The following is a 13,172-nucleotide window of genomic DNA, read 5'->3' as shown; positions in this document are numbered from 1 at the left end:
CCAGCAATTGTAATCTTGGCAGTCCGGCTTCAGCCTATATGCCTATTACCTAACATTACAAACTTAGATCCTGTTTGAAAAGGTACTTGAATGATGAATGGGACCCATTGATATTTGTACAAACGAAAATACTATTTTTTAAAAATGTACAATGCTTAGCTGTTATTTTTTAAAATGATTATTGTTTAAACTATTTCTGTTAAGAAGCATTGTGGAACCAAGAATCATCTTTATAGATAAAAGTTTTTTTATCTTTTTCATTAATTTGAATAGGGAGAAAACGATAAGCCCCCCTACTTAGTCAAATTGATTATTTGCTTAGTAATTTTCTACGTAAGATAATGTCAAGGAACCCCAAGTATGTTTTGTGTGTGTATGTGTGTGTGTAGAAGAAATGTGATAGCTACTAAAAAGAATTGTGTCGAGAATGGCAGGTGTATGTTGACACACTTTTTTTCATTTGGGCTCATATTGGCAGGTTAATGGGCTCCCCCCCTTTTACATATTTTCATCTTTATTTTTTGTAATTGTCATAGTTCTTGTCAGAGGATGGAGGGATGCAGCCAGCCCCCTCTTTACTCAGTATTATTATCCATTTGATTATTTGGGGATCGTCTCCTTTGAGACTTTGTTTGCATATGGAATGTAGTTGTCTTAACTTCCTACTTTTAGTGCCCCAAAGATGCCCTTTGGGCCTTTGATTTTGAGTAATTTTACTGATTATTATTATGAGGCAAATGAATTATAAGTAACAAATATGGGGAAGTTACAAAGAATCTAGAGTCTCATAATGTTATGATAATGGCTCCAGTTTCATGGTTCATAACTTCTTCTGTCTCCTGACCTTTGCTTTCGGTTTTTTCCTCTGAAGTGTAGCCCAGGTAGAGAACAAAGATCCTTTCTTGCCTCAAGTGGAAAATACACATTTCTGAATATAGTACATGCTCTTATAGCACTCTCCCTCGTACACTATTTCTTCATACATTTTAGAAATAAGGAAGTCCAACTCATTGAATTCACTACTTTTTGAAATAAGGTACATGGTTTTTCCTGGTCTCAAATAGCAAATGGTAGCAGGGCTGGGACTTTTATGTCTTCTACTGCTATTTTTATTGACCTTACAATTCAAACGAAACTTTCACAAAACAGTGCTTAGAAGGCATAGTCCAAGGGTTACAATTCATATACCCAAGAAAGCAGGGCTATAAACTTGAGCGTCAGGATGAGTGAAATACATTAGGAAGTTGTGGGAACAGTGTTAAACCTGAGGTAAATGCCCACCGTAAAAGAACTAAAAGAAAAACTGTCAAACCTGACTGCTTCGATTTGGTAGACAGGCTGTGAATTTACTGCCTTGGATATAGCCATTTGGATAACTTTACATTTATTGGAATGTATCAGATGTAATAGATTAAGGCAGTAGATTTTGTACTGAATAGAAATTATTGTTTGCTATCCAGCATTCTAATGTCCTTCTGTATAGGAAGGAAGCCCTATGTCTCAGGCTTTTAATCTCAAGAAAACAAGACAAAGACTCAAAGTGTAGGAATTTTTCAGGGCATTAGAGTGCATGTATGGTATTACCAGTCCAGTGGCGGCAGGCCAGTGTGGCAAGATCCATACAAGTCCTTACTTCATTCTTTGCTATTATTTCTTGCTTCTTTTATTTCCCAAGCCTGATTTTCCAGGCTTCCTATAGATTCTGTGAACAATATTTCCATAAACATATTTGAAGACATAGCTAGAAGGTGGCCATCTGCAAGCCAAGAGAGAAGCCTTGGAAGAAACCAAACATGCTGACACCTTGATCTCAGCCTACTAGCACCCAAAACTATGAGAAAATAAATTTCTGTTTTTTAAGCCACCCAGTCTGTGGTACTTTGTTATTGCAGCCCTAGTAAACTAAGACAGACTCTGATTGATAATAGACCAAACTGTGCTATGGGGTGGTGGGCAGAGACAAGACTACTAGTTTATCTAAGTAAATTTTTGTCATAAAGATAGGACTCATTTGGCCATATAAATTGCTGATCTGTTTTATGGGTTAAGGCAGTACATATTAGGAAGTATTTTGATTTAAATAGTGAATGCTTCAAAATTCTGACATATAGTCAGTCTCCTTTAAGACTTTTTTCCCTCTGAATTAAGATATTACAAAAGATTTGCTAGTGTTTCAGTAAAGCATATAAAATGTCTTTTACCTTGTCAGTTTGAATTTCAATACTGTAAACTTTCACTCCAGCCTACACTGATGTAAAATTTTCTTAAAGTAGGTGACTTAAGTGGGTGAATTCTCTGTTTCTATTTGAAATATTTCTTGGTACCATTATGATAATAGTTATTATGGCATTTGTCAAGAAACCAAGATGTACGATTTCCAAATATTTTTTGCCTCGTTGACACTTAAATCATTTCCAATGATTTAAATCAACCATGTCATTTCCCTAGTAATAGTTTTTTAATGGCTTCTTATGTCTTTCTAAAGGGAGTGTAAGGGATTCCACATCTTCCTCAGCCTATAACATCTGCTTTTTATCTTCTGTTATTTCAGTTCTTACTCCTCATTTTAGGCCAGCTTTTCCTATTCCCCACCTTCATATTCCCTCTCTACTCTTATGTGCCTTCGAACTTTTCATAGTCTTATGTGTATACCTCCCCCCTCCCAAAAAAAAACCTATCTACCTTCCATCTAGGTATCATAACTAGAAACTTTGGTGAGTCATCTTTGATTCTTTTTTCAACCTCCAAATCCAGTCAAGTCAATTCATAGTGATTCTATATCTTAAGGAACCTCTTTCAAATTATTTCCTTCCTACTTTACTATCCTATTTCAGGGCCACATTTTTACTTGGACTATTGCAACTGTTTCTCTTGATCTAATTTCTTCACAATGCATTACTCCAAAAGTAAATTTTCAAATGTATGAATTTGATAGTGTCACCCTATTTCATAACTTCTTTGAAGACCTCCCATATACATATATACAGGTTTTAATTTGCATTGATGATTATTCCATAGCTACAATAGTTAATTTTCTTGTAATAAGCGTAAACATTTTTCATACATTTATATAGTCTTAGAAGACAAAATCAAAACCCTGTAAGGAATTTTTTTTTCTTCTCGGTAAGTTTGTAAACTGAGACATGATATTTTATTGTTTTCCCATAACGCATTGCATATTTTCTTAAATATAGGTGCTTAATAAATGTATATTTTAGTGGTTCTCAAATTATGCTCATATGAAAGAGTTCAGTAGGTTGGACTAAGATGATCTACTAAATTGAATGATGATGTATTTCTAATTAACAGAAAAATATTTTTTTTCAATTTTAAGCTTTTTTCCCTCATAGTCATTCTTAAAAAATTAGTAGATTGCTAGCATTTTTCACCTAGCAGATTAAAAAAAAAAAGAAACAGTAATGGATCAAATATTTCATGTGACTGGAAAACCTATATATTCAAAATAATGTGGGGACATTTATGTAAAATATGGTCTTATGTTACAGTCTTTTTGGTGAAATTAAATTTATTAATATATTTTAAATTTTTCCATATAACACCACAAGTTCCAGGTATTTGCTACCTGAAAACATTTCAGAACCACTGTTTTAATGGATTGAATACCATCTCACCTTATAGCTGGATTTAGTGTCATTTATCCTTGAATCCTAAAACCTTTGAAGTGGGAAAGTTGTTCCTAAAAGAACTATCAAATTAGATTCTTCTTATGAAAGCTAATTTTCCATTTCTCTTTTATGACACACTGTATAAAAGGTCATGTTTTATAGTCAAAATATGTGGGTTAAATTTCTTCCCTTCCACTTATATAGGTGACTTTAGGCAAATTGTTGGACACTGGTAAGCTTTACTCTTCTTATATATAAAAGAGGAATAATACTGTTCCTAGCTCATAGGGCTATTGGAAGGACGAAATGATATAATGCATGTCAGTCACTTATTAGAGTACTTGGCACATGTAAACACATAATTAGTGGATACTACTATATAATTCAGGTCATAGTGTAAAGAAGTAAGGAATTCAGCATTGATACATTAATTTCTAAATGAGCTTACTCCAGTAAATATGGAGAATATAAAATCAGGAGATTGGGTGACTGAATGTGGGAGCTGAGGGGAAGAAGTCAGAAAGTAGAAGAGGATCCAGGTGGCAAGCATGGGCAAGTGATCAATGTGGGTGCCAGGGAGGTTACATAGGCAATGATTGGAATGTGTGGCCAGGGCAAGAAATAACATATCCAGTTTTGGCTCTGCTGAATTTATGGTCCTAGTGCGTCATTTATGTGGCAAAATCCAATGGTATATATTTGACTTGTAAACTCAGAAGAGAGTTTAGAACATGGTGGCCAATGGGAATGGATTACTTTGAAAAAGATTGTAGAGAGCCAAAAAAGAATAAAAATGTGAGGAACAATGTTTAAAAGGTAAATACAGAAAAAGAAGTTTAGGGAGGAAAGTGAAAAGAGGCAACTGTGGCAGGGACCCTAGGGAGAAGAACTTTTTGGGTAGTAGAGTATCAACAGGGCCTGGTAATTTTGCCTTGAGTTGGCTTAAATACGGCTACTTACTCATTCCACATTAGGATGAATCATACTGGACATCCAATTTAAGACATGGCTATCTGAAACAAGTGTATATTTCCAACTCTATTGACCTATATTTCTTTTCTTACATATATGGATACTGCCATCTGCTGATAACTGGCATTTTTGAGGGGTCTTTTTTGTAATTATGACATTGTATTTAAGGTATCGTTTCCCTTGTTCCCTTTTTGGATATATTCTTCCCACAGGTCTCCACATGGCTGACTCATTTTCATCCTACAGATAGCAGCTCAGGTGGCAATTCTTCTAAACAGTTATCCCTGACCACTACATCTAAACAACTTCTACCCTCTGCTCCTAGTTAATATCTATGTCATCATGTGTTTCACTCCTTTAATTTTAGATTTATCTTAATTTGTAATTACTTTGTGTTTTTATGTCTTCATTTCTTACTTGGGTATCTCTTGTCCCAGAATATAAGCTTCATGGGAGCAGGAACCTTGGCTCCCATCAGGTGCCTAATGCAACCTGTCTCTTAGAAAGAGCTCAATAAATGTGCTTTTAAAAATGAGCGATGGTGGCCGGGTGCAGTGGCTCACGCCTGTAATCTCAGCACTTTGGGGGGCCAAATGTGAATCACTTGAGCCCAGGAGTTCGAGACTAGTTTGGCAACATGGCAATACCCCGTATCTACTAAAAACACAAAAATTAGCTGGGCGTGGTGGCACATGCCTGTAATCCCAGCTACTTGGAAGGCTGAGGCACGAGAGTAGCTTGAACCTAGGAGGGGGAGGTTGCAGTGAGCAGAGATTGTGCCACTGCACTCCAGCCTGCGCAAGGAGCGAGACTTGGTCTTGGAATAAAAAAAGATGATGAGCGAGAACTAGAGCTGGCTGAGAGTTCTTGCCCCATTTGTGCTATAAGAGTATATTTAGTTTTGGTATTTATCTTATCTTTTGAATATGAATTTAACAAAATCTTCTGTGCCAAGATGTTATGATCACCCTGATACATCTGGGGATTTTTCCAATAATAATGGTGATGTGCTATTTGTCCCTAAGTCCAAGATTACACAATAAAGGAACAAAATTAATAGATGGCACTTACAAGGATAAATGTCTTTAACTAGGTGTATGCATACATTTGTAGGTGCCTTTTCTTTTGAGTTCCCCTGATGATGCCTCAGCTGCTTGTCATGGAATGTGGGTTTGTAATAGTGGGGAATGGGAAATGGGCAATGTGGAAAGGAAAACGTTGCTAATATATTTACTTGTGCTCTGGACGCGAAATAGCACTTCGTCTTCTTCAATGATGCAGATTAACAACACAAAATGAGAAAAGATTTCAAAAATTCTGTGAGAGAGGTCTTTTCCAGCAGCAGATTATTCTGGAAGTCCTGGAGGGGGCCAGCAATTGTCACTAGCAATTATATTTTCTGAATTAAATAATGGAAAACAGTCTGAAACATTTATTCATGTTCATACAAAGACAAAAGGACAAAACGTTTGAAACTGAATCAGTCCTAAAGTCATTCACAAAGTATAGGTTAACAAAGATATGCCATCAGTATATGGAAGATAATGTGGAACCATAGTAGATGAAATGACTTCCCACCTAGGGAAGTCAGAGAGAGCTTCGTGAAAGAGGTGCTATTTGAACTCTGGAAACAGGAGTTTCCCTAGCAGAGCAGAGAGTAGTGGGTATTGCGGGCAGAGGAAATAGCATGTGCAAATATGTGAATGTGTGCAAGTACATGTCATTTTCAGGGAATGACAATTATTTGGTGAAGGTTTGTTGAGACAGTGATGAGATGAAGCTAAAACATATTAGGATCAGATTTTAAAGGGCCTTATATATCATTTTAAAGAGCTTGGGCTCTTTAAACTGGTTATTGGTGAGCCATTCAAGGCTTTTATAGAGATATATGAGCTCACATCTATATTTTAGCCAAGATAAATATGACAAAAAGTAAATTAGAATGGGGAGAGACTAGACGTAGAGAAATCAGTTATTAGGCTACTGCAGTAGACTTGGAGAAGAATGATGACAGCCTGTACAAAGATGGTAATGATGATGAGAAGAAAATAAATAGAGAGTTATTTAGAAGGCATAAACAGTAGGGATAAATCCATATCAAAGGATATGAGAGGTAAGAAGGAGAAGTAGGAATTGAGGATGATTCATGTTTTCTAACGTGGGTAATTGGATTGAAGATATAAAGAGCCAAATTGGAGCAATGGGGAAGAAAAACAGAAGTTTAGTTTTGGACAGATTGTATTGGCTTTCTAGGTGGAGATGTAGGATAATTGGTAGTTGAAAATACAAATATGGGTTTGGGAAATGTATCGAGGCTAGAAACTGATTTTAGATTCCTCTATAATATAGATGACAATTGAAACAATGGGAATAGTTGAGATCACTCAGGGAGGGTGAATATGATGATAAGAGGGCAGAGGTAAGACCCTTAAGTAGCAGCAACATTCAGGAAATAAAATGTAGAAGTCTGTGGTAGTATAAAATACATTCATAAATTAATTGATACTCTTAAGAGGTGGAGCTTAATTCCCCTCTTTTTTAGTGTTGGGCTGGATTTAATGGCTTACTCCCAATAAATAAAATTAAAGCAGAAGTAACAGTGTATAATTTCTATGGCATAAAAAGTACTGTAGCTTTCTCTGTGTCTCTCTGGCTCACTCGCTCACTCTCTGACTCTTTCTGTCTCCCTCTCTCTCTTCCTCATTGTTTGATCTGGTGAAATCTATTTGTAATGTTGTGAAAACACTCAAGCAGCCTGTGAAGAGATCCATGTGGTGAGGAATAAAGGCTTCTTGCTAATAGCCAGTGAGGAACTGAGACATCTGTAAAAAGCTAGCGACAGACTAAGACCTTTACCAACAGCCACATGGGTGAACCATTGTGGAAATGAATCCTCTAGTCCCACTCAAGCCTTTAGATTACTGTAGCCCCAGTCAATATTTGACTGTAACCTCATGAGAGACTCTAAGCCAGAAGGGTGTTTTCCCTTTCCCGCAAGACATTTCTTTATTTTATTTTATTTTATTTATTTATTTTTTTATTATTATTATACTTCAAGTTTTAGGGTACATGTGCACAATGTGCAGGTTAGTTACATATGTATACATGTGCCATGCTGGTGTGCTGCACCCATTAACTCGTCATTTAGCATTAGGTATATCTCCTAATGCTATCCCTCCCCCCTCCCCCCACCCCACAACAGTCCCGAGAGTGTGATGTTCCCCTTCCTGTGGTCCATGTGTTCTCATTGTTCAATTCCCATCTATGAGTGAGAACATGCGGTGTTTGGTTTTTTGTCCTTGCGATAGTTTACTGAGAATGATGATTTCCAGTTTCATTCATGTCCCCACAAAGGACATGAACTCATCATTTTTTATGGCTGCATAGTATTCCATGGTGTATATGTGCCACATTTTCTTAATCCAGTCTATCATTGTTGGACATTTGGGTTGGTTCCAAGTCTTTGCTATTGTGAATAGTGCTGCAATAAACATACGTGTGCATGTGTCTTTATAGCAGTATGATTTATAGTCCTTTGGGTATATACCCAGTAATGGGATGGCTGGGTCAAATGGTATTTCTAGTTCTAGATCCCTGAGGAATCGCCACACTGTCTTCCACAATGGTTGAACTAGTTTACAGTCCCACCAACAGTGTAAAAGTGTTCCTATTTCTCCACATCCTCTCCAGCACCTGTTGTTTCCTGACTTTTTAATGATTGCCATTCTAACTGGTGTGAGATGGTATCTCATTGTGGTTTTGATTTGCATTTCTCTGATGGCCAGTGATGGTGAGCATTTTTTCATGTGTTTTTTGGCTGCATAAATGTCTTCTTTTGAGAAGTGTCTGTTCATGTCCTTTGCCCACTTTTTGATGGGGTTGTTTTTTTCTTGTAAATTTGTTTGAGTTCATTGTAGATTCCAGATATTAGCCCTTTGTCAGATGAGTAGGTTGTGAAAATTTTCTCCCATTTTGTAGGTTGCCTGTTCACTCTGATGGTAGTTTCTTTTGCTGTGCAGAAGCTCTTTAGTTTAATTAGATCCCATTTGTCAATTTTGGCTTTTGTTGCCATTGCTTTTTGTGTTTTAGACATGAAGTCCTTGCCCATGCCTATGTCCTGAATGGTAATGCCTAGGTTTTCTTCTAGGGTTTTTATGGTTTTAGGTCTAACATTTAAGTCTTTAATCCATCTTGAATTAATTTTTGTATAAGGTGTGAGGAAGGGATCCAGTTTCAGCTTTCTACATATGGCTAGCCAGTTCTCCCAGCACCATTTATTAAATAGGGAATCCTTTCCCCATTGCTTGTTTTTCTCAGGTTTGTCAAAGATCAGATAGTTGTAGATATGCGGCTTTATTTCTGAGGGCTCTGTTCTGTTGCATTGATCTATATCTCTGTTTTGGTACCACTACCATGCTGTTTTGGTTACCGTAGCCTCCTAGTATAGTTTGAAGTTAGGTAGCATGATGCCTCCAGCTTTGTTCTTTTGGCTTAGGATTGACTTGGCAATGCGGGCTCTTTTTTTAGTTCCATATGAACTTTAAAGTAGTTTTTTCCAGTTCTGTGAAGAAAGTCATTGGTAGCTTGATGAGGATGGCATTGAATCTATAAATTACCTTGGGCAGTATGGCCATTTTCACGATATTGATTCTTCCTACCCATGAGCATGGAATGTTCTTCCATTTGTTTGTATCCTCTTTTATTTCATTGAACAGTGGTTTGTAGTTCTCCTTGAAGAGGTCCTTCACATCCCTTGTAAGTTGGATTCCTAGGTATTTTATTCTCTTTGAAGCAATTGTGAATGGGAATTCACTCATGATTTGGCTCTCTGTTTGTCTGTTATTGGTGTATAAGAATGCTTGTGATTTTTGTACATTGATTTTGTATCCTGAGACTTTGCTGAAGTTGCTTATCAGCTTAAGGAGATTTTGGGCTGAGACAATGGGGTTTTCTAGATATACAATCATGTCGTCTGCAAACAGGGACAATTTGACTTCCTTTTTTCCTAATTGAATACCCTTTATTTCCTTCTCCTGCCTAATTGCCCTGGCCAGAACTTTCAGCACTATGTTGAATAGGAGTGGTGAGAAAGGGTATCCCTGTCTTGTGCCAGTTTTCAAAGGGAATGCTTCCAGTTTTTGCCCATTCAGTATGATATTGGCTGTGGGTTTGTCATAAATAGCTCTTATTATTTTGAGATACGTCCCATCAGTACCTAATTTATTGAGAGTTTTTAGCATGAAGTGTTGTTGAATTTTGTCAAAGGCCTTTTCTGCATCTATTGATATAATCATGTGGTTTTTGTCTTTTCCCCCAAGACATTTCTAAATTCCTGACCAACAGAAACTTTGAGGTAATTAATGTTTGCTGTTTCAAGCCAGTAAGTTATTGTCTATTTAATTGTTATTATTATTTTTTGAGATGGAGTTTTGTGCTTGTTGCCGAGGCTGGAGTGCAGTGGTGCAATCTCCGTTCACTGCAACCTCCACCTTCTGGGTTCAAGCGATTCTCCTGCCTCAGCCTCCCAAGTGGCTGGGATTAAAGGCGTGAGCCACCAAGCCCAGGTAATTTTTATATTTTTAGTAGATACGGGGTTTCGCCATGTTGGCCAGGCTGGTCTTGAACTTTTGACCTCAGGTAATCCACCCACCTCGGCTTCCCAAAGTGCTGAGATTACAGGCATGAGCCATAGCACCTGGCCCTATTAAATTATTTTAACTTTTATTTAGGTTCAGGGGTACATGGGCAGGTTTGTTATACAGGTAAACTCGTGTCATGAGGGTTTGATGTATAGATTTTTTGTCATCCAGGTACTAAGCATAGTATCTGATAGTCACTTCTCCGGATCCTCTCCCTCCTCCCACCCTCTACCGTCAAGTAGGCCCAGTGTCTGTCGTTCCCCTCTATTTCTATTGGTTCTCATTATTTAGCTCCCACTTACAAGTGAAAACATGCAATATCTGATTTACTGTTCCTGCATTAGTTTGCTAAACATAGTGGCCTCCAACTCCATCCATGTTCCTGTAAAGGACATGATCTTGTTCTTTTTTATGGCTGCATGGTATTCTATGGTGTATATGTACCACATGTTCTTTATACTGTCTGCTGTTGATGGGCTTTTAGGTTGATTCCACATCTTTGCTATTGTGAACAATGCTTCAATGAACATTAATGGGCATGTGTCTTTGTGGTAGAACAATTTATATTCCTTTGGGTGTATACCCAGTAATGGGATTGCTGGGTTGAATGATAGTTCTGCTTATAGCTCTTTGAGGAATCATCACACTGCTTTCCACAATGGAACTAATTTACACTCCCACCAACAGTGTATAAGCATTTCCTTGTCTCTGCAACCTCACCAGCATTTTTTTTTTGACTTTTTAATAAAAGCCCTTCTGACCTGTGTGACTTCGTACCTCATTGTGGTTTTGATTTGCATTTCTCTAATGATCAGTGATGTTGAGCTTTTGTTCATATGCTTGTTTGCCACATGTATGTCTTCTTTTGAAAAGTGTCTGCTCATGTCCTTTGTATACTTTTTTTTTTTTTTAAAGGAAGTAACACTATCTTTATTCTTTATTCACAGATGACATGGTCTTTTTTTTTTTTTTTAATTGATCATTCTTGGGTGTTTCTCACAGAGGGGGATTTGGCAGGGTCATAGGACAATAGTGGAGGGAAGGTCAGCAGATAAACAAGTGAACAAAGATCTCTGGTTTTCCTAGGCAGAGGACCCTGCGGCCTTCCGCAGCATTTGTGTCCCTGGGTACTTGAGATTAGGGAGTGGTGATGACTCTTAATGAGCATGCTGCCTTCAAGCATCTGTTTAACAAAGCACATCTTGCACCGCCCTTAATCCATTTAACTCTGAGTGGACACAGCACATGTTTCAGAGAGCACAGGGTTGGGGGTAAGGTCACAGATCAACAAGATCCCAAGGCAGAAGAATTTTTCTTAGTACAGAACAAAATGAAAAGTCTCCCATGTCTACTTCTTTCTACACAGACACGGCAACCATCCGATTTCTCAATCTTTTCCCCACCTTTCCCCCCTTTCTATTCCACAAAACTGCCATTGTCATCATGGCCCGTTCTCAATGAGCTGTTGGGTACACCTCCCAGACGGGGTGGTGGCCGGGCAGAGGGGCTCCTCACTTCCCAGTAGGGGCGGCTGGGCAGAGGCATCCCTCACCTCCCGGACGGGGCAGCTGGCCGGGCAGGGGGCTGATCCCCCCCACCTCCCTCCCGGACTGGGCGGCTGGCCGGGCGGGGGGCTGACCCCCCCACCTCCCTCCTGGACGGGGCGGCTGGCCGGGCAGAGGGGCTCCTCACTTCCCAGTAGGGGCGGCCGGGCAGAGGCGCCCCTCACCTCCTGGACGGGGCGGCTGGCCGGGCGGGGGGCTGACACCCCCACCTCCCTCCCGGACGGGGCGGCTGGCCGGGTGGGGGGCTGACCCCCCCACCTCCCTTCAGGATGGGGCAGCTGGCCGGGCGGGGGGCTGACCCCCCCACCTCCCTCCCATACGGGGCGACTGGCCGGGCAGAGGGGCTCCTCACTTCCCAGTAGGGGCGGCCAGGTAGAGGCGCCCCTCACCTCCCGGACGGGGCGGCTGGCCGGGTGGGGGGCTGACCCCCCCCCACCTCCCTCCCGGACGGGGCGGCTGGCCTGGCAGGGGGCTGACCCCCCCCACCTCCCTCCCGGATGGGGTGGCTGCCGGGCGGAGACGCTCCTCACTTCCCAGACGGGGTGGCTGCCGGGCACAGAGGCTCCTCACTTCTCAGACGGGGCGGCTGCCGGGCGGAGAGGCTCCTCACTTCTCATACGGGGCGGCCAGGCAGAGACGCTCCTCACCTCCCAGATGGGGTGGCGGCCGGGCAGAGGTGCTCCTCACATCCCAGACAGGGCGGTGGGGCAGAGGCGCTCCCCACATCCCAGATGATGGGCAGCCGGGCAGAGACGCTCCTCACTTCCTAGATGTGATGGTGGCCGGGAAGAGGCGCTCCTCACTTCCCAGATGGGATGGCGGCCGGGCAGAGACGCTCCTCACTTTCCAGACTGGGCAGCCAGGCAGAGGGGCTCCTCACATCCCAGACGATGGGCGGCCAGGCAGAGACGCTCCCCACTTCCCAGACGGGGTGGCGGCCGGGCAGAGGCTGCAATCTCGGCACTTTGGGAGGCCAAGGCAGGCGGCTGGGAGGTGGAGGTTGTAGTGAGCCAAGATCACGCCACTGCACTCCAGCCTGGGCGCCATTGAGCACTGAGTGAACGAGACTCCGTCTGCAATCCCAGCACCTCGGGAGGCCGAGGCTGGCGGATCACTTGCGGTTAGGAGCTGGAGACCAGCCCGGCCAACACAGCAAAACCCCGTCTCCACCAAAAAAATACGAAAACCAGTCAGGCGTGGTGGCGTGCGCCTGCAATTGCAGGCACTCTGCAGTCTGAGGCAGGAGAATCAGGCAGGGAGGTTGCAGTGAGCCGAGGTGGCAGCAGTATAGTCCAGCTTCGGCTCGGCATGAGAGGGAGACCGTGGAAAGAGGGAGAGGGAGACCATGGGGAGAGGGAGAGGGAGAGGGA

General features: G+C 41.2%; 1 long non-coding RNA gene across 1 annotated transcript in view; it reads left to right on the top strand.

Annotated features, from left to right (window-relative positions):
* LOC105373785 (uncharacterized) overlaps positions 1-13,172 on the top strand; it is a 29,999-nt gene that overhangs the window by 597 nt on the left and 16,230 nt on the right. The window lies entirely within an intron of this gene.

The sequence above is a fragment of the Homo sapiens genome, chromosome 2 (genome assembly GCF_000001405.40).
Source record: "Homo sapiens chromosome 2, GRCh38.p14 Primary Assembly".
Lineage (NCBI taxonomy): Eukaryota > Metazoa > Chordata > Mammalia > Primates > Hominidae > Homo > Homo sapiens.
Note: the sequence above shows the minus strand (reverse complement) of the source record. Positions and strands in the feature narration are given on the sequence as shown.